General features: G+C 39.8%; 1 protein-coding gene across 5 annotated transcripts in view; it reads left to right on the top strand.

Moving 5' to 3' along the window:
* The window catches only part of CSNK2A1 (casein kinase 2 alpha 1), a 71293-nt gene that overhangs the window by 19203 nt on the left and 24413 nt on the right, over positions 1-27677 (top strand). For 4 of the 5 annotated variants that reach the window (NM_001362771.2, NM_001895.4, NM_001362770.2 and 1 more), the window contains 5 exons: positions 15928-16137; positions 19359-19470; positions 24654-24755; positions 25283-25333; positions 26808-26867. In NM_001362771.2, the coding sequence (NP_001349700.1) occupies positions 16037-16137; positions 19359-19470; positions 24654-24755; positions 25283-25333; positions 26808-26867 (426 nt within the window). In that variant the 5' untranslated portion in view covers positions 15928-16036. The remainder of the gene's footprint in view (positions 1-15927; positions 16138-19358; positions 19471-24653; positions 24756-25282; positions 25334-26807; positions 26868-27677) is intronic. The other variant, NM_177560.3, reaches the window with a different exon arrangement.

The following is a 27677-nucleotide window of genomic DNA, read 5'->3' as shown; positions in this document are numbered from 1 at the left end:
CAGCTAATTTTTGTGTTTTGTTGTTGTTGTTGTTTTTAAGTAGAGATGAGGTTTCGCTGTGTTGGCCAGGCTGGTCTCAAACTCCTGACCTCAAGTGAGCCACCACACCTGGCCTAGATGTATCTCTTTTATTTATTTGTTTATTAATTTTTTTTTTTTTTTTTTTGAGAAGGAGCCTCCCTCTGTCTCCCAGGCTGGAATGCAATGGCGTTATCTTGCTACAACCTTCGCCTCTCGAGAGTTTCAAGCGATTCCCCTGCCTCAGCCTCTAAGAGCAGCTGGGACTACAGGCACGCACCACCACACCCAGCTCATTTTTGTATTTTTAGTAGAGATGGGTTTCACTGTACTGGCCAGGGTGGTTTTGAGCTCCTGACCTCAGGTGATCTGCCCACCTCAGCCTCCCAAAGTGCTGGGATTACAGGCGTGAGCAGCTGCACCCGGCCTAGATGTATCTCTTTTAGACAGCATGTGATAGAATTTTTTTCCTTTTTTTAAATTTTTTTTTAAATTAATACACAGTAAAATTGACTCCTTTTTGTGTATACTGTTCTATGAATTTTAATACATACATAGATTCAAGTAACTACCATCACAACTGGGACATAGAATAGTTATATCACCTTCTGCATGTTACCCTTGGTAACATACCTAGCCTCCCACCCCTAATCTCTAGCAACCACTGTTCTGTTCTGAGTTACTACAGTTTTTTTTTTTTTTTTTTTTTTTGAGATGGAGTCTTGCTCTGTCGCCCAGGCTGGAGTGCATTGGCGTGATCTCAGCTCACTGCAAGCTCAGCCTCCCGAGTAGTTGGGACTACAGGCGCCCACCACCGCTCCCGGCTAATTTTTTATATTTTTAGTAGAGACGGGGTTTCACCGTGTTAGCCAGGATGGTCTCGATCTCCTGACCTTGTGATCCATCCGCTTCGGCCTCCCAAAGTGCTGGGATTACAGGCGTGAGCCACCGTGCCCAACCTCACTACAGTTTTATCTTTTCGTGAATGTCATATAAATGAAATCAAACATTATGTAATATTTTGAGACTGGCTTATTTCATTCAGCATACTGCCTCTGAGATTCATCAAAGTTATTGTGTGTGTAAATGGTTAGTTCCTTTTTATTACTGAGTAGTATTCCATTTATGGATAGACTATAGTTATTTTTATCCATTCACTCCTTGAAGGACATTTTGGTTTTCATTCTTTGGTGATTATGAATACAGTTGCTGTGAACATAACATTATAGGCTTTTGTGGACCTAAGTTTTCATTTTTCTAGGGTAAATAACTGTGAGTTGGATTGCTGGGTCATATGAAAAATGTACATTTAACTTATTTATAAAGAAGTTGCCAAACTGTTTTCTAGAATGGCTATACAGTACTATTTTGCGTTCACACTAGCAATGTATGAGTTTCAGTTTTTCCTCATCTTCTCTAGCATCTCATCCTCTTTAGCATTTCAAGTTAAATATTGGCAGTATTTAACTTGTAATGTTGAAAATTTTAGGTTTACAGAAGTTACAGATAGAATCTCCATATATGCTTCCCTCAGTATATCCTAATGTTCACATCTTGCCATAACCGTGATATGTCATCAACACTAAGAAACTGGGCCAGTCATGGTGGCTCACACCTGTTATCCCAGTAACTCTGGAGGCCGTGGTGGGGAGGATTGCTTGAGGCCAGGCGTTTGAGACCAACCTGGTTCTCAGAAGTTAGGTGGGCATGGTGGCATGTGCCTGTAGTCCTAGCTACTTAGGAGGCTGGGGCAGGAGGATCGCTTGAGCCCAGGAGTTTGAGGCTGCTGTGAACTGGGAGAGCTAGGATCACACCATTGCACTCCAGCCTGGGTGACAAAGTGAGACCCCATCTCTAAAAATAAATAAATAAATAAAATAATTAAGAAATTAACATCGGTATAATACTATTAACTAAACTACAGGCTTTGTTTGGATTTTACCAGTTGTATCCTTTTTCTGTTCAAGGAGCCAGTCCAGGATACCACATTAATTTAGTCATCATGTCTCCTTAGTATCCTCCAGTCTGTGAAGCTTCTTAGTCTGTCTTTAATTTTCATTACTTGGAAACTTTTGAAGAAGACTGGTGATGTATGTTATAGAATGTCCTTCAATACAGGTTTGATGTTTTCTCAAGATTAAATTGTGGTTATGGATTTTTGAGAAGACTACCACAGAGGTGAAGTGCCCTTCTCATCACATTATATCAGGGGCATATGATGTCAAAGTGACTTAACACTAGTGATATTTCAGTAAAGTCTGCCAGGTTTTTCTACTGTAGAGTTGCTATTTCTCCCTTTCCAAGCCCATTGGACTTAGGAATACCCTTGTAATGAATAAGCATGGAAAGGGAGAAATTTAGGCTCTCTTTCCATGCTTACTTATTTCCTTTCCTTAAAGGAGAAAAATTGAGCTCCACCTCCTAGATTCCTCACATGTGCAGTTCACAATAGGGTTCTCCTATGAGAATCTAATGCTGTTGCTGATGGGACAGGAGGCAGAGCTCGGGCAGTAATGCGAGTGACTCCCGCTGCTCACCTCCTGCTGTGTAGCCTGGTTCCTAACAGGCCATGAACTGGTACAGGCCCATGGCCCGGGGATTGGGGACCCCTGATATAAATGGAAGTATACAATATGTAGGCTTTTGTTTCTGGCTTCTTCACTTTTAAGATTCACCATGTTGGTCAGGTGTAGCAGCTCACACCTGTAATCCTAGCACTTTGGGAGACTGAAGCCAAAGGATTACTTGAGGCTAGACGTTTGAGACCAGCCTGGGCAACAAAGCGAGACCCTGTCTCTACCAAAAAAAGAAAAACGATTCATCCATTTTGTTGCACAAATCAGTAATTTGTTCCTTTTTATTGCTAAGCATCACATGGCAAACCATTTGTTTGTTCATGTAACTGTTGGACACCTTGGTTGTTTCTGTTTTTTCACAATTATGAATAAAGCTGCCTTAAATGTTTGTGTATAAGTTTTTGTGTAGATACGGGTTTCCGTTTCTCTTGAGTAAATACCTAGGAGTGGGAATGCTGGTTGTATGCTTAAGTACATGTTTAACTCTATAAGAAACTGCCAAACTGTTTTCCAAAACCATTTTGCATTCCTACCAGGAATGTATTAGTTACTGTTACTCTGCATCCACACCAGCTTTTGGTATAGTTTTGTTTTCTGTTTTTTTAAATTTTAGCCATTTTAATAAATCTGTAGTGGTAGTTGTATGATTTAATTTCATTTTCCCTGCTGTCTGGCAGTGTTGTGTATCTTTTCATATACTTATGTGTATATCTTCTTTTGTGGTGTGTATGTTCACGTCTTTTGCCCATTTTTAAATTGAGCTGTTTTCTTATTGAGTTTTTTAATGTTACAGATACAAGTTCTTTATTCGATTTGTGATTTGCAAATACATTCTTCTTGTGTCTGGCTTATTTTCTTAATAGTGTCTTTCACAGAGCAGAAATATTTTAACGTTGATGAAGTTCAGTTTATCAGTTTTACAGCCCATGCTTTTAGTGTCATGTCTTCAAACTCTGCCTAACCCCTGGTTGCAAGAAGGTTTGATAATTTTACATTTATATCTTTTTTTTTCCCCCCCAGAGGTAGAGTCTTGCCTTGTCACCCAGCCTGGGATTATACAGTCATGAGCCACCGCATCTGACCCAAGTTTTACATTGATATCTGTGATTCATTATGAATTATCTTTATATAAAGTGTGAGATTTAGATTAAAGTTTATGATTTTGCATATTGATCTCCAAGTCTTCCAAAACAATTTATAGAAAAGATTATTATGCCTGTAATCCCAGCACTTTGGGAGGCCAAGGCAGGTGGATCAGTTGAGCTCAGAAATTTGAGACCAGCCTAGGCAATATGGTGAAACCCTGTCTCTACTAAAAATACAAAAATTAGCAGGGCATAGTGACACACTCCTGTGGTCCTAGCTACTTTGGAGGCTGAGGCAGGAGAATCACTTGAACCCAGGAGGCGGAGGTTGCAGTGAGTTGAGATCATGCCCCTGCACTCCAGCGTGGGCACCAGAGGCAGACCCTATCTCGAAAAAAATACATAATATATTTATATATATATGTATATATGTCCTTTCTCCATTGAACTGCCTTTGTACCTTTGTCAAAAATTAATTGGCCTTGTTTGTGTGAGTGTATTTCTGTACTCTTTATTCTGTTCCCTTGATCTATGTATTATCCTTTTGCCAATACACTGTTTTGACAACTATAGCTTTGTAATAAGTTTAAGATCAGTTAGTATAATTCTTCCAGCTTTATTATTTTTCAGAATTGTTTGGATTATTCTGGTTCATTTGGATTTCTTTTTTAATCCAGTCTGATATGATAGTCTTTGTCTTTTACCTGGATAATTTATTCCACTTATATTTAATATAATTAATCATATTCCAATTCAACTTTCTTCCCCTATGCTTCTTATGTTCTAGATTTTTTTCTTCTCCCTTCTTAACATTCTTTTGGATTCTTTTTATGATTTTACTTTTCCCTCTTTCTGGTTTGGAAATATATGCTATTTTTATTCTGTAATTAGTTGTCATACATCTTGTGACTTGCAGCTATAACTTAGCAAAACCTGATATTATAATTTTATCTTCTTTTCATATAATAAAAGACCTTTAGAAAGAATACTTTGAAATCTCCTCAATACACTGTGTTTTTATTGTTATGTATTCTATGTTTTAAAGCTCCTCAAGGTATTGTTATTCTTTTGTATAATCAGTGTTTGTTTGGAGCTGTCTGTAAATTTTCCTCTTTTTTGCTCTTTATTTTTTCTTTCAACTCAGACCTTCCAAAATGGGATTATTTTTCTTTTTTCTTTAGAGACATTTGCTTGATAACAGAATTTTAATTTGGCGGCTATTTATTTTTTTCAGCACACTGCAGGTATTAAACTACTTGGCTTCATTGTTGGTTTTGAAAAATCAGCTGTTCTAATGTTGCTCTTTGAATATAATCTGCCTTTTTCTGTACTTGCTTGTCTTTAGTTTTTTGTTTTTGTTTGAGACAAGGTCTTGCTGTTTTGCCCAGGCTGGCCTCCAACTCCTGGGCACAAGCAATCTTCCTGTATCAGCCTCCCAAATAGCTGGGACTATAGGCCTGTGCCATTACACCCAACTCATCTTTGTTTTTTCCTGCTATTTTGTAATTATATGTTTGGTTTTGGATTTCTTTTTATTGATCTTGTTTGGAAATTGTTTGCTTCTGGAATTTGATTGTGTCTGATTGCTTCTGGGATATTTTCAACTGTCTTCAGTTACTGCCTTTATCCCATTCTCTTTTCTGCTAGTACCAATTAAAAGTATATCAAACTGGCTGGGCACGGTGGCTTACGCCTATAATCACAGCACTTTGGGAGGCCAAGATGGGCGGGTCACTTGAGGTCAGAAGTTCAAGACCAGCCTGGCCAAAACATGGCAAAACCCCCTCACTACTAAAAATACAAAAATTAGCCGGGCATGGTGGCATGCACCTGTAGTCCCAGCTACTCTGGAGGCTGAGGCAGGAGAATCACTTGAACCTGGGAGGCAGAGGTTGCAATGAACTGAGATCGTGCCACTGCACTCTAACCTGGGTGGCAGAACAAGACTTTGTGGCAAAAAAAAAAAAAAAAAAAAGTATATCCAACGATTTCACTATATTTTTCCTCTTGTTTTTTGAGATCTGCTAGGACATTGTATTTAAAAATAAATAATTGGCTGGGTGCGGTGGCTCACACCTGTAATCCCAGCACTTTGGGAGGCCAAGGCGGGTGGATCACGAGGTCAGGAGATCGAGACCGTCCTGGCTAACACGGTGAAACCCCGTCTTTACTTAAAAAAAAAAAAAAAAAAAAAATTAGCCGGGCGTGGTGGCGGACTCCTGTAGTCCCAGCTACTCGGGAGGCTGAGGCAGGAGAATGGCGTGAACCCAGGAAGCAGAGCTTGCAGTGAGCTGAGATCAGGCCACTGTACTCCAGCCTGGGTGACAGAGCGAGACTCTGTCTCAAAAAAATAAAAAATAATAAAAATAAAAATAGATATTTGTAGTGATCATTTGAGGCCCACAGTAAGGTACTTTCCTCCATGGAGAGCTTGCTTATATCAGGTATGCATGGGCACTAATCCAGAGACCACCTTAAAACAAGCTTAAGATATGATATTCCCTTCAGTAGGGCTTTAATTCCTCCCTGGATCTTCCACTCCCTAGTCACTCTCACCATTAGGAAGTATGCCTCTGAAGTCCCACCTTATGAAGAGGGCCTCCTATTAGACTTTTTGTCTTGTGAGAGCCCTGGGCTTTGGTTTATGTGAGAACAAAATTCTAATTTTCAGGATCAACAAAGGCTTTCCAGGCTTCCTTGCTTGCTTATATCTCTGGGTTTGCATTTTCTATTCCCTTTTGGCTATAATTACTTCTCTGTCTTATTTAAAGATGAGTGGGCCAGGTGTGGTGACACATGCCTGTAGCCTCAGTTACTTGGGAGGCTGAGGTGGGAGGATTACTTGAGCCCAGGAATTTGAAGTGGCAGTGAGCTACGATTGTGCCACTGCACTCCAGCTTGGGCAACAAGGAACTGATTAGTGTTGGAAGTAGAGAAAAGAAAATAAAGAGAAAGAATTCCAAAGCTTGTGAATTAATGATACTGTTTGTTTTAAGCACAAAATGGTAACAGTCGAGTAAACTAATAGTCTCCAAATCAGATATAAAAAGGTTGCTGACCTGATGTGCAAAAAAAGCACATCAGGTGCTTTTTTACACCTGATGCCACGTTGCATGTGGCATCCAATGATGTGTTTCTTATAGAAGATAACAAAATGTGCCAGCCTTTGGTCATTTTAGGGTGCAAAATTATAGGTCTTTAAAATTCTTAACTTGCTTTAAAGTGTTACGCTTTGCAATTTCTTGTTTTAATGTTTTCCATCTGAATAATTCCTGTGCGTACTTTAAGTGCAGTTTTTTTTTTCTCTTACAGTTTTTCCCCATTTTAGGTACTCCATAAATATTTGTTGAATGAATGATGGGTTGGTGATAGTTTAAATACCCTTCAACGTCTGTACACCACCATGACTTAATTGTTTCAAGCACTGATCACTTGAGATTGTAATGGTCTGTTTTCTTTGTCTGAGGGCAGAGATACTTTCTCCAGGACCAAGAGAAAGAATGCCTTTCTGGCAGTCAGGCACACATTTCCTGGTACATAGTAAACGTTCAGTAAATGCTTGATGTATGAGCATTCTGCTCTTGATTGGAAAGGAAGAAAGAAATTAAGGTTAAGTATGGACATTTGAAATAAGTAATTCAGGTAACATTAGCTACTTGTGCTTTTTTGTATTAAGTTGGCCTTCTAATCAGTGCCCCTTTTGTAAAGGGAAATGGGCAAGTTTGACTGAATTTTTCTCTTTGCTTCTGTAGCAAGGTAGAAAAGTATACATATTTAAGGTCTCGCTGAGTTCCACAAGTCTTGTTTGTCTCTTACCAGTTTATGTTGCCTGATTGCTTGGAAAAAGAGTTCATTCTCTGCAGCAGTGCATAAAAGGTGTCTTCCTGTATAGCTGCTTTTCCTCTAAACAAGCAGTCCTAAACCATGCAGTCAGTGCAATCTAAGCACATTCCTCATTCTTTGCTATAGAAATCTTTGTCCTGTCGGGATGATGATGAGATCTTGTTCATTTGCTATGGTTCATTTAGGGATGAGAAGGAGATTTTTTTTTTCCTTTTAAGATGGAGACTAATAAACATTAGGGTTAAAAAGAACTAATTATATTACAGTTCAAAAATTGACTTAAAGTTCTAGAATGATCTTTTCCATTTCTGATACTAGGAAATTCATCAATAAAAATACATTAGCAGAAATGACTAAGCAAACTTGTTTGTATAGTTTTCTGGTATTGGACTGTTACTAAGCCTCTAGTTTTCTTTTTAGTTGCCAAATTGAAAAATAACAACTGAACATAAGAGATTAGAAGGAGGGACTAGCTAAGGGCAAGAGGAGTTTTTATTGAAATTAATTCTGCTGTATTCAGTGTATATCAGTAAACTTATGATTTTGGCAATGGACAATTTTTCCTTATGGTTTAATGGCATTTTCTTTTTATTTACTTATACTTTATTAAAGAATAGGTCATGCAGACCCATGCAGTTGGCTTCGATGTGATCTTACTTCAGTCGGGAAAAATTCATTGACATGATACTTTTTTCGTAGCTGATTAATTGGCTTCTGTTAGGCTAAACGTTGAGCATACAAGACCTAGCCATGTCTTCAAAGTCATTCTGACGGTGTTAAGGTAGATGTAGTGGTCTGAAATGGTTAGCCACTAAAGTTACACCTCCTTTTATGCAATTACATGAGAACAGTAAGCACTAAGTAAGACAATTTAAAATGGAACTTAATAAGAAAGGCAGTGCATTTTGTTAGATTGCCTTAAGATATACTAGTATTATGAACAGTGGAGAGGAGAATTGATCTTCCAAATATCTAGGACTCAGGCACTTTTTCCATCTTCCAAATAAGCTGCTATAAAAATTGGTAAAATCAAGTTTCTTCAGTATTCTCTTAATTTGAATTATCGAGGGGAAAAAGACAAATCCTAGTTGTAGTCCTGTGATTTAATAGAAGCTGTAGTATTGGGAAAGAGAGAGAGGGAAGGGAACAATTACTCAAGAACCTTTGACTTGGTTTTCCAGTTCTCCTAGTTGCGTACCAGATGACCTGAAGTATTTAGGAACACCCTATACTTTGGATGCAACTTCATTTTCATTTCATTTTTAAAAAATAAACCAAGATTAATTTGATCACCAAATAGTGTTTACTGAACGTGCTACAAAATGCAAGCCTTAGGCTAGGTACTATAAATTAAAAAGGTAAATTAAACATGGTTCTTAACTTTGTAGAACTTAGGGTCCAATTGAGAAATTAAGATTTGAAGACTGGTGTGTGTGTGTGTGAATGTGCAGTAGAAAGTGATTGTGTTCTGTAGGAGTGAGAAGACTTGAACCTTGGAGGCCAACTCACTGTCTTTGAATCCCAGCTGTAACTGTATTGGATATTCTTGGTCAAGCTACTGAACTTAGGCTGTTCTTATTTGTAGATTAGAGAAACTAATGCTTGCCTCGTAGAGTTGTTGGAAGAGTTAGATACTTAAAGCTGAGAAACTCTTAGTTCCAGACTTGTAATATCTAACTGCCTATTCAGAATCTTCGTTTGAATGATTCAAAGCCATTTTAACCTTAAGTCCAAAACCTATCTTGTGCACTCTTATCTCCATGAATGGCACCAACAGTCTGTCAAGCAAGAAATCCAAGAGTCACCTCCCACTTCATACAGCATTTTCCAGTTCACTCAGAGCTATTGATTTTACACCATAAATTTTGTTCCTCATATTAGTCCACTGATCTCCACATGCCACCACCTTAGGTCATCATTTCTCTCACGTGTGCTACTGTTAACAGCCTTCTCCCTAAGTCCTGTCCCACACTCAGCCAGAGTAAAAATTTTAAAAACAATATGTATGGGTCACTTTTCTGCTTAAAACTTTTCAATGAATTTCTGTTACCCTTAGTCCATAGGTAAAATCTTCAATGGCATACTTGTCTCACCCCTGTTCTGCCTTGCTCACTTATATTCCTAAGGCCTAGGATAGTACTTTTTCATAGTAGATGGTTATCTATTTAAGGGATGGACAAAATCAGGAATGTAGGGAAGAATCAAACCAAAAATTGAGAAATGTAGGCTGTGTGTTTTCTTCCTGTTAGCTTACATGTGATATACATATGCATTTGCAGAGGTATAAGTGAAATACTATTTCTAAATAAGATAATGTTTATCTTGGTTGGGCATGGTGGCTCACACCTGTAATCTCAGCACTTCGGGAGGCTGAGGCTGGTGGATCACTTGAGTCCAGGAGTTTGAGACCAGCCTGGGCATCATGACAAAACCTTGTCTCTACAAAAAATACAAATATTAGCTGGGCCTGATGGCGCATAGCTATAGTCCCAACTACTCAGGAGGCTGAGGTGGGAGGATTGCTCAAGCCCAGGAGATGAGGTGGAGGTTTCAGTGAGCCGAGCGAGATTGCACCACTGCACTCCAGCCTGGGTGACAGCGCAAGACCCTGTCTCCTGTCTCAAAAAAATAATAATGATAATATTTGGTCTTTGACCTCCCTTTTCTGTCTTTTCACATCCCCTCTTGTTTTTGTTTTTTGTTTGTTTGTTTGTTTGTTTTTGAGACAGGGTCTTGCTCTGTCACCCAGGTTGGAGTGCAGTGGTGAGATCATGGCTCACTGCAACCTTGACCTCCCAGGCTCAAGTGATCCTTCCATCTCAGCCTACCAAGTACCTGGGACCACAGTTGTACTCCACTACACCCAGCTCATTTTTATGTTATTTGTAGAGAGGAGGTCTCGCTGTGTTGCCCAGGGTGGTCTCAAACTCCTGGGCTCAAGTGATCCTGCCAGAGTGCTGGGATTATAGGTATGAGCCACCACACTGGGCTTCACATCCCCTTTTTATCACCATCCCTTAACCCCCAATCTCTTAGTACCCTTTTATCTATCTGAGATTACAGAGTCACAGTTGAAGAATCCTCTGTTTTATTTTCCCGTATAATTAATGAAGGCCAGCCATTTGAAATTCATGTGAATACCTTTCTTACTATAAGCAGATTATTTGGTATGCGTGACAGTAAGGTGAAGCACCTCTTTGGGGGTACTGCAAAAATAGTTAGCTTGTTGTCTTCCCAGTGGAGAATCAGATCTGCTAGTTCATAAATTAGGTCCCAGTTGATGAGCCCCAAAGCTTCAAGGGTCATTCAGACAAGTACTGGAGAATCTCAAGAGTTTCATTAGTTATTAGTCTTTTCCCACTCCTCACAGAGGATGCCAGGGCCTTGAAACAGCAGAAGAAGACTGGGTGATGAGAATGTACATGACTAGTAATAGGAGTTGGCTATTCTCCATATGTCAGATGGTTTCCAGGGAGAAATGAGGACTCATTTTGTAATGTCATGTATACTTGGGAGTTAGCCCTCAGTGGCCGGGAATTAACCACGGCTACTATAATTTTTGTATTTTAAAGAATGAAGGTTCCAGCCTGTAAAGATAGGTTTCTGCTTATTAGCTTTCACTAAGGAGCTAGGGGATAGTAATTACTTAATACAAATTTACATGCATTTCATGTTTCTAAGCCCTTTCTGGAAGATCATCTCACTTCATCTTCCCTTCAGTCTGCAAGCACAGTTAGACAGGTTTTATAAGTGATGAACCAAAGCTGGGAAAAGCCCAACAGAGAGATCACTTTTAAGCATAGGAAAAGGGCTTTGAGATCCACAGACGAAGGCTGTCTTACACGTATAAAATGTTAACCAGAAGAGTAAAGTGGCTGTAAAGGTTATGTAGAGAAAGATACTGTTTCCTGTCAGAGGAGAGGCTGAGAATTTAAAAGTTTAGTATATTAAAAGTAATAAATTTCTGGGGACAGCATTTCTGTTGGGTTCATGCTGCTGTTTCTACTATTTTGGCCATATTCACACCTACACCTTTCTCTACGGTTTTCCTAGTGTCTTTCATTGCTGTCAAGGCAGGCATAGTAGTCACAGAGTCACCAATCCTACAACATAGATGACCTTATTTCTTTGGGAAGAAGAAAAATTACAAGAAAACATCTGGTTTTTGCATGTTTGATGTGTTTGTGTGTGTGTGCGTTTACAGTTTTAACTGATATTAAGTGAAGATAGATTAATGTCACCCAGGTTTTACAAAATCAAAGAAATAGAAATAATTTTAAAGACTTTTGGTACTTGAATTACTTTGTTGTTTTCTGGTCATTTAGTACATTTATGGAACCTCAGAAGGTTTGAGTTGAACAGAGGCAAGTTACAGCAGTTTTTTGGGTGGGAGAATTCATAAGTCAGCATGTGAATCTTTTGATCTCATATATTTGGAGTGGAATGTCATTAATTGTGTTTGTCACGGTTAAGGAATAGAGAATTAATCTCCATCCCAGTCTTGCTATTCTTCTGAAAGCCTTTAGCTGCCGACACCATGGGCATAAGGAGGTATCTCTTCTGGCTTCTCTTTGGGTGTGGTAGCTAAGTTACAGCTTACCTTGGAAAGATGAGCAGCTTGTAAGCAACAAAAAAACAGTATAGTTAACAAATGCATCGTCAACAAACAAAACAACCCAATCAAAAAATGGACAACAGCTTTGAATAGACATTCTCCAAAACAAATATACAAATGGCCAATAAGCATGTAAAAAGATGCTCAACATCATTAATCATTAGGGAAATGCAAATTAAAATCACAGTCAATGAGATACAACTTCATACTCATTAGGAGGGCTGTTACTGAAAAAAAAAAAAGAAGAAGAAGAAAAGAAAACCAAAAAATAGGCCAGGCACAGTCTATTTTGAGAGCACTTTGGGAGGCCGAGGTGGGAGGATCCCTTGAGGCCAGGAGCTCAAGACCAGCCTGGGCATAAGCAAGACCCCTGTCTCTATAAAAACAAGCAAAAAACAGAAAATAACAAGTGTTAGTAAGGATGTAGAGAAGTTGTAGCCTTTGCACTGTTCCTGGGAGTGTAAAATGATACAGTTGCTGTATAGGAGTGAGCCACCGTGCCCAGCTTGTTGAAACAATATGCTGGTTCTTCAAAAAATTAACATAGAATTACTACATGGTTCAGCAGTTCCACTTCTGGATATATACATAAAAGATTTGAAAGCGAGGTCTCAAACAGATGTTTGTACACCTATGTTCATAGCAGCATTATTTACAATAGCCAAGCTGTGGAAGCAACTCAAGTGTCCATCAGCAGATAAATGGATAAGCAAAATGTGGTGTGTGTGTGTGTGTGTGTGTGTGTGTATATATATACACAGTGCAATATCATTCAGCCTTTAAAAGGATTGGAATTCTAACACATGCTACAACATGGATCAGCCTTGAAGACATTATGCTAAATTAAATAAACAAAACAAAGGACAAATATTGTCTGATTCCACTTATATGAGGTTCCTAGAATAGCCAGCTCAGGCAGAAAATAGAATAGTGGTTGCAAAGAGTTGGGGGAGGGAAAATTAGTGTTTAGTGGATACATAGTTTTCATTTGGGATGGTAAAAATTTGTAGAAATGGATGATCTGGTGATTACTGCACAAGAATGTGAATATACTTAATGCAACTGAGCTTTAGGTTTAAATGTGGATAAAATGGCAGTTTTTATTTTTTTTAGATGAGGTCTCTCTCCTGTCACCCAGGCTGGAGTGCAGTGGTGCAATCACAGCTCACTGTAGCCTCGACTTCCTGGTCTCTGGTGATTCTCCTGCCTCAGCCTCCCAAGTAGCTGGGACTGCAGGCAGACACCATCACACCTGGCTAATTTTTTGTATTTTCAGTAGAGATGGGGTTTTACCATGTTGCCCAGACTGGTTGCGAACTCCTGGGTTCAAGCGATCCACCCTCTTAAGCCTCCCAAAGTGAGCCACTGTGCCTGGCCATAAAGTTTATGTTATGTATATTTTACCACAATTTAAAAAAGTGTTTCAACAAGCTGGGTATGGTGGATCACTCCTATAATCACAGTACTTTGGGAGGCTGTGGTGGGAGCATCACTTGAACCCAGGAGTTTGAGACCAGCCTGGGCAACATAGGGAAACCCCATCTTTACAAAAAAAAAATTTATTTAATTAGCCAGCTGTGGTAGCCCACGCCTGTGGTCCCAACTACTTGGGAGGCAGAGGTGGGAGGATTGATTGAGCCTGGGAGGTCAAGGCTGCAGTGAGCTGTGATCAGACCACTGTACTCTAGCCTGGCCTACAGAGGGAGACCTTGTTTCAAATAAGAAGATTTCAACAAAAAGTAAATAAAAATAGTACAAAGGGCATCTCTATTCCCTTTACGCACGTTTACCTATTGTAATATTTTACCCAGCTTGTTTTATCATTTGTGAGTGTGCAGTCATGTGTGCTATATATATACACATGTAAACGTGTGGGCACATTTTTTTCCTGAATCATTTTAGGGTAGATTATATGCATCATGGCTGTTTACTTCTAATTACTTCAGGAAAATTTCTTAACAATAGACATATTCTTGGGCTGGGCGAGGTGGCTCACGCCTGTAATCCTAGCACTTTGGGAGGCCGAGGAGGGCGGATCACCTGAGGTCGGGAGTTTGAGACCAGCCTGACCAACATAGAGAAACCCTATCTCTACTAAAAATACAAAATTAGCCAGGCATGGTGGCGCATGCCTGTAATCCCAGCTACTCGGGAGGCTGAGGCAGGAGAATCACATGAACCTGGGAGGCGGCAGAGGTTGTGGTGAGCCAAGATCACGCCATTGCACTCCAGCCTGAGCAACAAGAGCGAAACTCCATCTCAAAAAAAAAAAAAAAAGAATAGGTATATTCTCTTAACTATTGTGATTATGTACCAACTTCACAAATTTACATTGATACAATAATTTAATACCCTCTGAATTCCAGTTCTGTCGATATTGTTTTTTATAGCATCCCCCTCCACCTCCTGCAGTATGGGATACAGTCTAGAGTATTGCATTTATGCAATGTCTCTTTAGCCTCCATTTGTCTTTTATGCTGTGGACATGTTTTAGAAGTATAGTACCCCTTCCCCCTTTTTAAATAGACACTTCCTCTTTTTCTGAATGTTTCCTGGTAATTGAATTGAAGTTATGGCTGGGTGCGGTGGCTCACATCTGTGATCTCAGCACTTTGGGAGGCTGAGGTGGGAGGATTGCTTGAGCCTGGGAGTTCAAGACCAGCCTGGGCAACATGGTGAAACACCGTCTCTACTGAAAATACAGAAAATTAGCTGAGGGTGGTGGTGCGTGCCTGTAGTCTCAGCTACCTGGGAGGCTGAGGTGAAAGAATCACCGGAGTCCAGGAAGTTGAGGCTTCAGTGAGCCATGATCACACCACTGCATTCCAGTCTGGGCAGTGGAATAAGACCCTGTCTTAAAACACATACACACATACAAATTGAAGTTATGCTGTCTCAGCCAGGAGACTTGCATACGTGTTATATCCTTCTCACGTTATCACAATCTGGAGACTCAATACAATTTCATCTAAATGCATAATGAGGGGAATCAGCACATGCTGTAGGAGATAGGGAAGACATCATTGGAAAGGAACCTGATTTGATAGCATATTTCTAACATCTTACTTATTTTCCCCCGGTGTCAAATTTTGCATTAGCTCAGCTAATCTGTATTACTGTTTTATACCAGTTTTTAAGCTCCTGTATTAAATATAAAGAGAATATTACTGATTTCTGTTTTTAAATTTAATGAAACCAAGTGTGTCTTTCAAATGGTGATCAAGGTTCTACTGATTATTACCTTAAGGTTCCCCCAAAAGATTTGGATTGGTATAAGATGACATGGAGCTTTGATGTATGAGAACAAGCCTTTATTCTCTTCCTGGTTTCATCAAATATGAGTCAGAATGGCAAGTTGTACTCTTAGCTTTGCCGCCATTCTAGAACCTTTTAGCACCCCTACTTAAGTTACAGAAAGCTGCTGAAAAGAAAGTATTTTTCTTGCCAATACCTTTTGTAGAATATATAACTAGTGGTAATGCTGATGTATCTATCCTCAATGCCATTTTTCTCTTCCAGGCTGTCTTACAAAAATCATTCAAATTTTGCCTGCAGAGGTAACAGGATATTTGGCAAAATATGATTAAAGCAAATATCAGTTTACTGTATTTCTTGGGATTTTTCTTCTCATGTTATAGGAAGCACTGGTTAACACAGTTGAGCTATATTTATTGGCTGTAGGTAGGAGAGCCAGAGGTATATTTCAGGCCATTATTATTTGTAAGATTATTTCCTTCCCATATACCTTCTGTAAATGATTCCTTGGACTTTGTGCATTTTGTTTCTGCAGTTTGAAGAAAACAGGTCTGAAACAAGGTCTTACCCCCAGCTGCTTCTGAACACAGTGACTGCCAGATCTCCAAACATCAAGTCCAGCTTTGTCCGCCAACCTGTCTGACATGTCGGGACCCGTGCCAAGCAGGGCCAGAGTTTACACAGATGTTAATACACACAGACCTCGAGAATACTGGGATTACGAGTCACATGTGGTGGAATGGGGGTAATTGTTTTTGTTGACTTCATTATACTCACTCAAAGGGCTGAATCTTGTGGATCTGTTGAGTAGTTTTTGTCAGAAAACCTCCGTGACTCTGTATGTGTATACCTCAGGATCAAAGCCCAATTTGTGTTTTCTTTTGAGCTGAAAATTTGGTTTTGCAGTGAGGAAGCAGAGTTGCTTTGGCAAGTGAACAATTTTAATGGGCTTACCATTTAAAAATCATTTTAGTTTCTTATCCTTTTCTATGATGTATATGCAGTCGTGCACCACATAACAAAGTTTGAATTAATGACAGACCACATGTAGGACAGTGGTTCCATAAGATTATAAGAGAGCTGAAAAATGTCTGTGGCCTAGTGATGTCATCGTAACATCAACAGTGCATTCATTACCTTTTCTACGTTTAGATACACAAATACCATTGTGTTACAATTGCCTAAAGTATTTATTACGGTACACATTTGTATCCTAGGAGCCGTAGGCCATACCCTAGGTATGTAATATGCCATACCATGTAGGTTTGTGTAAACACTCTGATGTTTAACACATTTCTCAGAATGTCATTAAATAACGCATGACGGTATTCTGTATGGGCACCTGGCAACAAAAAGTTACCTATCAGCTTGCTTATCAAGCCAAGGGCATTGCAGATCAGTGAGAAGTGATACTTGAGAGACTTTGAAAACACCAAAGTCTTATATAAAGTATTTTTGAGGTAGAGAATGTTGTTTCGTGTTAATACAGGAGGACGAAACAGTTCTCCAAAGAGGTAACTTCTTTCTGATGAGAAACAATTAAATTCTTAAACATTTGCCCTTATCCTGAGACTAGGCATGTCTTAGCATGGAATTCAGCCCAAATTCTATCTTGAACAGTTGTAGTCTGCCTGAACAGCTGTGTTTGCCCTCCTAATTCTCTGTGCAGACTCATTTGGATGTTTGCATTTCCTGTCCCAATGTGGTAGACATTTAATTGTTCAGATCATACTTTTGTGATAAAAGCATTTTGACATTCAAGTGCAAAAGAAAGCAATTTGAAAACTAAAGCTACAGCTCCTGTATGCTGTATTTTATATCTGACTGCATGTGATTTCTGTAACCTGTAAGTGGTTAGTGGATGGCTTCCCTAAATTGTCATAGGGCGTATTTTTAATCTTGAGTATGCCATGAATTTGTGTATGTGTGTGTGTGGAAATGAGTCTTGCTCTGTTGCCCTGGCTGCAGTGCAGTGGTGTGATCTCGGCTCACTGCAGCCTCCGCCTCCTGGGTTCACGTGATTCTCCCACCTCAGCCTCTCGAGTAGCTGGGATTACAGGCACCTTCCACCCTACCCAGCTAATTTGAGTATGCCATGATTCTTAACAGTAAATACATTGCCTCTGAATACAGAGGCACTGTATGCTGTAAAGACACCATTAAATGCCAGTGTGGTTTAGTACCAATAAATGTTGTTATTACTGATAATCTAACAATTCTCCTCTTATGTCACAGGCTTTGGACTCTAGGTGACACTGTGTTTACTATAGGAATTTCAGCCGCTATCTTCAAATTGAGTGCTTTGCACTTGGTTCTGCTTAAATGGCACTAAAGAGCCCTTTTGGGCTTTTGGCATGGTTCTGTTTGCTTGCTGGCATTTGTTTTGTATGCCCTCCCATAGGAAGAGAACTCAACCAGAAGTAGGAGCATTCTTCCCCTACACCTGCCATGATTATTATGTTGTCCATTGTTTTTAGTACCTTTTGTCTTTTCATTCACTTTCTTTTTAGCTACTTGAGGAAAATGAATGGTTGAGGTGGTTGATTTGGTTCATATTGGATACTTAGTAGGTCCAGAGGATTCTATCCAGTAGGATAGAATTTAGGCCTTATTGGAACTGTGTTTGTCATTCTTCAGAGCAAAGCGCTCTACATTGGAAGCAGGCAGGGGCAGGAGGAAAATGTTGGCATTTCCCTTATTCTACCTCTGTTTATTACCTCTGATGTTGCTTATTGGTCACAGAATATGGGTATATGTAGAGGAGGGGATCGCTGATTATAGTTTACAATCTATAATGTGCTTCGTACTACGCATGGACTATCCCCAGAGCTTGCCCTGGAGGGCAAATAGATTAAGCCTATACATTTGAAAGCCATTTACCTTCAAAGAGGCCTGTTAAAAATCAGCTGCTGCCAAAGTGTGGCTAGATTGAAACAGTCTTGCAAAATGTTTTTAGTTCCTGCTAAGTGCCAACACTGGACCAAGCACTAAGGGACAAGAATATATAAAAATTATTCTCCGGCCGGGTGCGGTGGCTCACGCCTGTAATCCCAGCACTTTGGGAGGCCAAGGCGGGCGGATCACAAGGTCAGGAGATCGAGACCATCCTGGCTAACACGGTGAAACCCCGTCTTTACTAAAAATACAAAAAAATTAGCCGGGCGTGGTGGTGGGCGCCTGTAGTCCCAGCTACTAGGGGAGGCTGAGGCAGGAGAATGGCGTGAACCTGGGAGGCGGGGCTTGCAGCGAGCCGAGATCACGCCACTGCACTCCAGCCTGGGCGACAGAGCAAGACTCCGTCTCAAAAAAAAAAAAAAAAAAAAAAATTATTCTCTTGGGGAAAGCTGTCTCTTGTTGGAGACAAACGTATTTAGAACAAACCTTAATACAAGCCAGCTCCATGTCATGTGCCAATAAAGATGTAAACAGTTTGGGATTAGAAAGAATAATTGAAAGGTATAAGTTTTTCTAATTCTAGGATTTGAAACACACGTATTTTAATTGGCCTAATTTAAAAAAAAAAAAAATACAATGGGCCAGGCGCGGTGGCTCACGCCTGTAATCCCAGCACTTTGGGAGGCCGAGGCGGACGAATCACGAGGTCAGGAGATCGAGACCATCCTGGTTAACACGGTGAGGACCCGCCGTCTCTACTAAAAATTCAAAAAATTAGCCGGGCATGGTGGCAGGCGCCTGTGGTCCCAGCTGCTCGGGAGGCTGAGGCAGGAGAATGGTGTGAACCCGGGAGGTGGAGCTGGCAGTCAGCAGAGATCGCGCCACTGCACTCTAGCCTGGGCGACAGAGTGAGACTCCATCTCCAAAAAAAAAAAAAAAAAAAAAAAAACCTATTTGGGAATTGTTTGAAATACTTCTTATTTCTATTACAGCTGCTGGTAATAGATTCCTGTAATTTGAATTGATGCTGATAATTTGACCGTTTATAAGTCATTTTGTTTGTGTCCACAGAAATCAAGATGACTACCAGCTGGTTCGAAAATTAGGCCGAGGTAAATACAGTGAAGTATTTGAAGCCATCAACATCACAAATAATGAAAAAGTTGTTGTTAAAATTCTCAAGGTGAGTACAAGAGATAATTTCAGAGGTATTTGGAATATAGATTTTTAAAAGTAGTTTTGAAGACTTTTTTAAAACAGCATTTAAAAGGTTTTTGGTGCCAAAGCAAATAAATAAAATTTTATTGTATCCTATGAACTCAATAGAACAAGTTCTGCTTATTTGACAGATCGGGAAACTGAAGCAAGAGAAGTGATTTGAGTTGACTCATATAGCTAGGTTGTGGCAGAGTAAGGGAGCAAAGGTACAGTCTCTTCTCTCCCAGTTATTGCCTAATACTTATTTCCTTTACTTTTCATTATATAATGAGGCTTTTGTTTTCAATAAATAAATCATTGCCTCTACTTTGTAAAGATGAGGAGTCACAGGACTCGAGGGGGACAGACAGATGATATTAGTGCAGCTAGTCGGGTGTAATTGCCCTTGCTTAGGTGATGTGAGTGGTAGGGACTGAAACAAACTGGGAAACACATGCCTCTTCAAAAGGAGTTAGCTGCTTCTCAGCTGAAGCTGATGATTGCCCTGCAGTAATGCAAGTCCATTGTTGCTTGATACTCTGTTTTGCAAATAAAAGCCAGAAATTTATATTTGTATATGAATTTTCCTGACTTTTAAGTGTTGGCTCAAGATTTTAAAAAAACAATGCACAGGCCAGATTTGGCCTCTGGGAGACCAATATACAACTTTTAATTTAGTTATAACTATGCTGTGCACTGTCATATATTGGGAACTTAGCATATAGTTCCTTACCACAGGAACTTTTTCATATTTGACACTGAAAAGTAGAAGTTTCCAAACTTTCTCAATTTATAACACTTATACTGTCTTTAATTTTTCACGGTACTCCTAAGTCAAGAAATACCTCATAGTTCTCTGTATTAAGTAGCAAGGTCCAAATAGCTAAGTAAGTTTTGTTTTTTTTATTGTTTTTGTTTTTGTTTTGAGAAGGAGTCTCGCTCTGTCGCCCAGGCTGGAGTGCAGTGGCGCGATCTCGGCTCACTGCAACCTCCGCCTCCTGGGTTCAAGCGATTCTCCTGCCTTAGCCTCCCAAGTAGCTGGGACTACAGATGCACGCCAGCAATGCCCGGCTAATTTTTGTAATTTTAATAGAGACGGGGTTTCACCATATTGGTCAGGCTGGTCTCAAACTCCTGACCTCAGGTGATCCGCCCGCCTCGGCCTCCCAAAGTGCTGGGATTACAGGCGTGAGCCACTGCGCCTGCCCGCTAAGTATTTATATCTTAGCAACTTGGTAGCCATTTAAAAAGTTATTCACATAAATTAAAAGAAAAAAGTTAAATTTGTTCTTATATAACTATAATTTGTTACTGTTGGGTTATGTAGACCTGTTGCTGCATAGCTTTTCAAATGTTGTCATTGGTTGGACACCACCACCCTCATTTCCTGTCATTGATTTTTGTGCAGTACTTGCTTTTTACCACAGCAACTACTGCAAACCCAGCTTCACAAAAATATGCCATCGCGAGGAGTATAACACAATCCATCACGAGGAGTGTAACACAATCTAATGTTGAAACTACGAACCACCTCAAGCTGGCAGTGCACCCAGTGTCTGGCAGATTCAACGATGGGTTGATGTGTCTTCCTCAAAAATGTAAAGTGTTCCACAGTATTCCTGTGCATTGCTGGGGTGCTTCACATGCCCTTTGAGAACCAGAGAGTTTAAGTATTTATATCTGTCTTGAAATATGTAGAAAGAGAACTAGGTTGGAAATCAAAACATGTGGGTGACTAGCCATAGTAGTCCTTTTAACCTAGGACATGTTTATCCATCTATTAAAAAGAATGTTGGCTGAGCATGGTGGCATGTGCCTTTAGTCGCAGGTCCTCGAGGGGCTAAAGTGGGAGGATCGCTTGAGCCTGGAAGTTGAAGGTTGCACGGATCTATGATCAAACCACTGCACTCCAGCCTGGGCGATGAGAATGAGACCCTGTCTCAAAAAACAAAAAGGATCAAACACAAAATTGTGTGTATATATACATACGTTGGAGACTGGAGTTCTTTGTGATTGTATGGTGATATTCATATGGAAAGGTATATGATAGAATGAGGTGATATATTATTATTTAGAGCCACATGAAAAGCATGCATAGTGGGTCTACAGTTCAGAAGAGGGTAGTAGTTAGGAAAAGCTCCCAGGAGCTGTCTTCAGGCTGAATGGGAGGAGGATTTGGATAGGTGTTGGGTGGAAGTGGTGAAGGGAAGCAGGCTGTAGAGTGCACCAAGATAAGAAAAGAGGAGGAGGGAAAAGTGAGAGAAATATTTCATGTGAAAGATGTTATGTGACCATACATAGGAGTTGAACTTGGAAAGAGAGATTAAGTTGGCGAAGGCCTGGAAAAAATAATCTCTGCATTTCCTTGCAGTCTTAAAATTATATGACTATCTCTTCTAGGTAATTGTGAGCCCTTGATGATTTTGAATGAAGGGTGATTTAGAAAGATTTTTTTCAGCTCAGTCTTTCTAACTGTATTGTATATTTTACTGTAACTGTGGGTAGGTGGTGTAAGTATAGATGAATTTCCTTTGTAAACCATATTTAAAATTTTTAATCTCCCCTATTTAATAAGACAAAAGTTGCATTGATCGCATTAAATTCGGGCCTGAGTCAGCTGCCTGGTCTGTCACAAACCAGCTTTTTAAGTTTATAGATTTGAAGCATTCTGTAGAGTAGTTTTGTCAACCAGAAGCTTTTTTTTTCCACTAAAAAACCAGCAGTTGGGTTAATGGAAAACAGGAGGTAAGTTGTTGGGTTAGTCTCTGCAGGGTGGAAAGATCTCCCAGATAATATAACAGTTTATAAAGATCTGAATAGTTGAAGCAGGAAGAGAAGACTTATATTATCTTGTTTCTTAGGTAGATATTGTATTGGGTAAGAGGTCGTGGGTTGAATTCAATGGACTACATGGAAGTCATTAGTAAAATAGCTTCTGTTTATTGGGTACCACTTTGCATTGGACCTGTTCTAACTGTGGTATGTAAATCACTAACAGGCGAGTATAGTCCCTTTCAGCAGTGAGAAACATTTAAATGCTTTTCTGAACACTGCACAACCACAAAGCCAGGTTTTGAGAACTGTCAATGTTTCCAAAATCTGCTTGCTTTCTGCTATCATGTGCTTGAGGCTTAAGACAAAGTTAAAAGAATTTATAGTATTATTTGGTAGTTTCTGGACCTGGATCATCAGCCTGGAAAGTATCTAAAAATAAATCCCCCGTTTCCCTCTCAAGATTTTGATTTAGTGAATCTTGGTGGGTTCTGTGAGTCTGTATATTAAAAAAATCCAGGTGATTGTTGGTCATCAAACTTTAGTAACCACCAATCTTGTTAATGAAGAGATGAGATGTACTTAACTTCTAAGAGTTATATGCAGTGCATCTAGTCTGAGGTGACCAACACCCTAGGAAAAGACCTGCACAGTCCAGTACAGCAGGCACGCAGGCCACATGAGGCTGTTAAGCACTTGAAATATGGCTGGGCTGAATTGAGATATGCTGTAAGAGTAAAATACATTAGATTTCAAGGGTTTAATACAAAAAAAGGTAAAATAGATTAATAATTTTTATATTGATTTATATGTTAAGATTTTAGATTAATAAAGTACATTAATTTTGTCCTTTTTAAAATTTTCTTGATGTGGCTACTAACACATTTAAAATTACACATGTGGTTTGTATTATATTTCCTTTGGGCCAGCACTGTTTTAGACTATTCAGGAGAAGGCTTTATAATATAAGCCCAGGCACAGTGGCTCATGCCTATAATCCCAGCACTTTGGAAGGCCAAGGCAGGCGGATCATGAGGTCAGGAGTTCGAGACGATCCTGACCAACATGATGAAACCCTGTCTCTACTAAAAATACAAAAATTAGCTGGGCATGGTGGCTGGCGCCTGTAATCCCAGCTACTCGGGAGGCTGAGGCAGGAGAATTGCTTGAACCCGGGAGGCGGAAGTTGCAGTGAGCTGAGATCATGCTACTACACTCCAGCCTGGGCGACAGAGCAAGACTCTGTCTCAAAAAAAAAAAAAGGCTTTATAAAGGAGGTGCAGTGGGACCAAGGCCCTCCTCAGAAAAAAATGAAAAGGATTCCATACTAGAACAGATGTGGAAAGAATGGGTAAGGACAAAGGAATGTTTAAGATATGCTCTGCAGAATACTCTTTAGAATGGAGGGGTTCATTTATAAGAGTATTGGCACTTTGGGAGGCCGAGGCAGGCAGATCACGAGGTCAGGAGATCGAGACCATCCTGGCTAACACGGTGAAACCCCGTCTCTACTAAAAATACAAAAATTAGCCTGGCCTGGTGGCGGGTGCCTGTAGTCCCAGCTACTCGGGAGGCTGAGGCAAGAGAATGGCGTGAACCCAGGAGGCGGAGGTTGCAGTGAGCCAAGATTGCACCACTGCACTCCAGCCTGGGTGACAGAGCAAGACTCTGTCTCAAAAAAAAAAAAAAAAAAAAAAGAGCATTGGTGATCAGGCTAGACAGTTATTATTATGTTATGTTTCAGCCATATTCCGAAATCTTTCGAATACCTCATTTGATTCTTGCAACAATCTTATGAGATGGGTACTCTTGTTACTCATTTTACACTTAATGAAAGGCTTAGAGAGGTTATGTAGTTTGCCATTAACAGCCAGCAGGTAGTAAAGGTAGGTTTCACATTGGGCATTGTGACTCCAAGACTCACCCTTTACCCTCAGGGTTGTGCTACACAAAGATGTTTTGGCCATCCTTGTTGTTGGCCCTAATTAGAGGAAGAAATGGAAAGGGCCCATGTTTCATCCTAATTGATAAAAAGTTTGATATACTTTAGTATTACTAACGATTTAAATTGCTACTTTGTAAGGTTTTAAGACATTAACATGTTTAACATGTTTTAAAACATTAACATCAAGACTGATGATTGAAATGCTAATTCTGCAGAAGTGTCTGGTCTTTGGAATAGAAATCTTTTTTTCTTTCAATTCAACATTTGTAAGTACCTGCAGAATACCTGGCACAGTGCTAGGAGAAGGATTCAGAGACGAATGTGACACATTTTCTTCCTTCAAGGTGTGCTCATAAGTAAGCCATTTATCATTTATGTATTACACTACGTGTTGAAATACTCTGAAAAAATTTTTTTTTTTTTTTTTTGCTGATGTACTTTTCCCCTTTCAGCCAGTAAAAAAGAAGAAAATTAAGCGTGAAATAAAGATTTTGGAGAATTTGAGAGGAGGTCCCAACATCATCACACTGGCAGACATTGTAAAAGACCCTGTGGTGAGTATAGTAGGTGTTAGCAAGGCCCGCCAGAGCTGAGATGGTGTTTGACCTGGAGCACAACTGGCCTCTTTTTGTTCCCTCCCCCAACCCTCATCATTAAGTCCTGCTTTGAAAGTGCTTAATCAGATATACCATTTAACTAGCTTGGGTCTTTCTTTCAAAGAGACCTCCACCCACAGACTATTTCTTATTCTTCTAGGCTAAGAGACTGATAGCACTGGAAACTGAAATGTGTTAATCCATTTTGCAAACTCAGGTCCGATGCCGATGGGCGATGGGCGCATTGTCGGGCTGCCTAGAGCCTGGTGAGACTTCAGCTCCATGTCTTCTGTTTGAAATCCATCCCAAAAATGACCTAAGTGCGGTGATGATCAGAGCGGGGAGGGCTTGTAGCAATAGAGGGTTTCTTACTACTGAGGCGAGGACTGCCAAATTTCACCACGCAGCATCCGCAAACATTGTCCCCATTAAAGCTGTCAGGGCTATTGCTAATGTGTGTTTTTGTTTTTGTTCTTTTCCCCTAGTCACGAACCCCCGCCTTGGTTTTTGAACACGTAAACAACACAGACTTCAAGGTATAATATATAACCAACTGTTTCGGGCTAGTGGGTTTTTAGACCACATAGCCTTTGGGGATGATGCTGTTAGAAGAGCTTGCTTCGCATTTGTTTTTAAAAAGCTTTTCATCCTTACAGTGCAAATTTTAAGATAGAAGAACTCCTATATAAGCAGTGCCCACTTTCTGCATCTTGATATTTTGCCCATTTGTTTAATGTTCTTTTTAATGACCAACACATTGACTTCTCACTACTTAGTTGACAGTTTCTGCTGATGTCCAACCTAATGAAGGCAGTAACACACGTTCACTTAGGATCTGGCCATATGGCAATTCGCTTTAAACAATAGTGTTCAGGAAGAAATATATTGTATGTATAAAAGTAGGGACTGCTTATTTCTTAGGATTCCTCATAAACTGTGGGCTATAGATCTTAAAAGGCAGGGATCGAGGAAGGATAATGTCAAATTCTGCCATAACACAAACCTCTATAAGAGATATCTCAGAATTCCAGTCTATCCAGTGGCCTACTTATTTCACACAGTTCCAATTTTACAGAAGAATATAGCTACTCTTTTGGAGTAAAAGTAAAAATCTTCGATTTGCCTTTCCACCAGTCCAGTATCCAGAATGTTATATATTAATAAATTAGTGAATTCTGTTGCAGAGATAGGGAGAAAGGAAGAGGAACTGCTTTAGAGTCAGAATGATAATTTCAAGAAAAACTTTGTCAGAAGACGTTGCTAACCATTAAAGAGACGTACCTGTGGCTGGGCATGGTGGCTTTCGCCTGTAGTCCTAGCTACTGGGGAAGCTGAGGTAGGAGGATCGCTTGAGCCCAGGAGTTTGAGGTTGCAGTGAGTTATGATTGCAGCACGGCACTCCAGCCTGGGCAGCAGAGTGAGGACCCTGTCTCAAAAAAAAAAAAAAAAAAAAAAGATATGTCCATGTAAAAAACATTCTGCAACTCTTTGGAAACTGGAAAGGATACATAACAGTTGTTCAGAGTTTACTTTCCAATTGGAACAAGAATAGTTTTGTTAAATTGACTCAACAGGTTTGGTATCATGCCATCTGCATACCCACTGGTGATCTGCAGGGCCAACTATGTAAGGCAAAGATGAGTTAGTTCCCTACTAAGGAGGCAGTATATTTGCCAAAATGCCTCTTTTGAGAAGGTCTGAAGATACATGAAAAGCAAACTAAATTATAGGTGGGTGTCAGTGCATATTAACGTATCTAGATCAGTATGTTTCTGACAGTGGATTATAGCTTCCGCAATATATGTTTAAGTAATTCTTCATTTTTAAGAGTTGAAGACCCAAAGTATCTCTTTAAAGTTAATGTAATGTTGGAGAAATAGAGGGCAGTGAATGGACAGATCTTGGAACAACGGTAAATGAGCCAAGTCTTGGTTTGAATTACTGTGAGTGAGGGTGAAAAATGCCTTTCTGTCAGCATTATTTCATGGCTCAAACATTTGTCTTTAACAGCAATTGTACCAGACGTTAACAGACTATGATATTCGATTTTACATGTATGAGATTCTGAAGGTAAGTGAACCTTGAATACTAAATATTTTTTAAATTGGTCTTCTTTTTGTTAAATAGTCAATTGATGGTAGAAAAGCCAGCAGATTAACTTTGTAAAGTATGTTGAAAGAAGGGACCTCTATATAAGTTTTTAATAAGTTAATAGTATCATACCTGTAATCCCAGCACTTTGGAAGGCTGAGGCAGGAGGATTGCTTGAGGCCAGGAGATCAAAAGACCAGCCTGGGTGACATAGTGAGATCCCCATCTCTACAAAAAAAAATTGTTTAATTACCTGGGCATGGTGGTGTGCACCTGTAAGTCCCAGCTACTTGGGAGGCCAAGGCAGGAGGATTGCTTGAGGCCAGGAGATCAAGACCAGCCTGAGCAACATAGTGAGACCCTGTCTCTACAAAAAATTTAAAAATTAGCTGGGTATGGTGGCTTATGCTTGTAATTCCAGCTACTTGGGAGGCTGTGACAGGAGGATCTCAGGAATTTGAGGCAGCAGTGAGCTATGATTGTTGCACAGGCTGGAGTGCAGTAGCACAGAGTAAGACCCTGTCTCTAAATACATAAATAAATAAAAATTAATAATAATAGTATCAGAACCCTTGTGCTAAGGGTTATGGAATGGGGTCTAGTGGGAGTATAATTTAGAACAATTTGAAAAAGGGTATTTGTAAGATAGCTGGGACTGACCCCTTAACAAATATTTGTAATTTCTGTGGCCCCTATGTAAGTTAATATTAAATTTTCAAAACTCGTGAAAACACCTGACGTGCTAGCTTCTGGTATACTTTATCTCACTTAAGAGTCAGCAAATAAAAC

This window comes from Homo sapiens, chromosome 20 (assembly GCF_000001405.40).
Source record: "Homo sapiens chromosome 20, GRCh38.p14 Primary Assembly".
Taxonomy (NCBI): domain Eukaryota; kingdom Metazoa; phylum Chordata; class Mammalia; order Primates; family Hominidae; genus Homo; species Homo sapiens.
The sequence above is the reverse complement of the archived record's forward strand: the minus strand, read 5'-3'. Positions and strand labels throughout refer to the sequence as shown.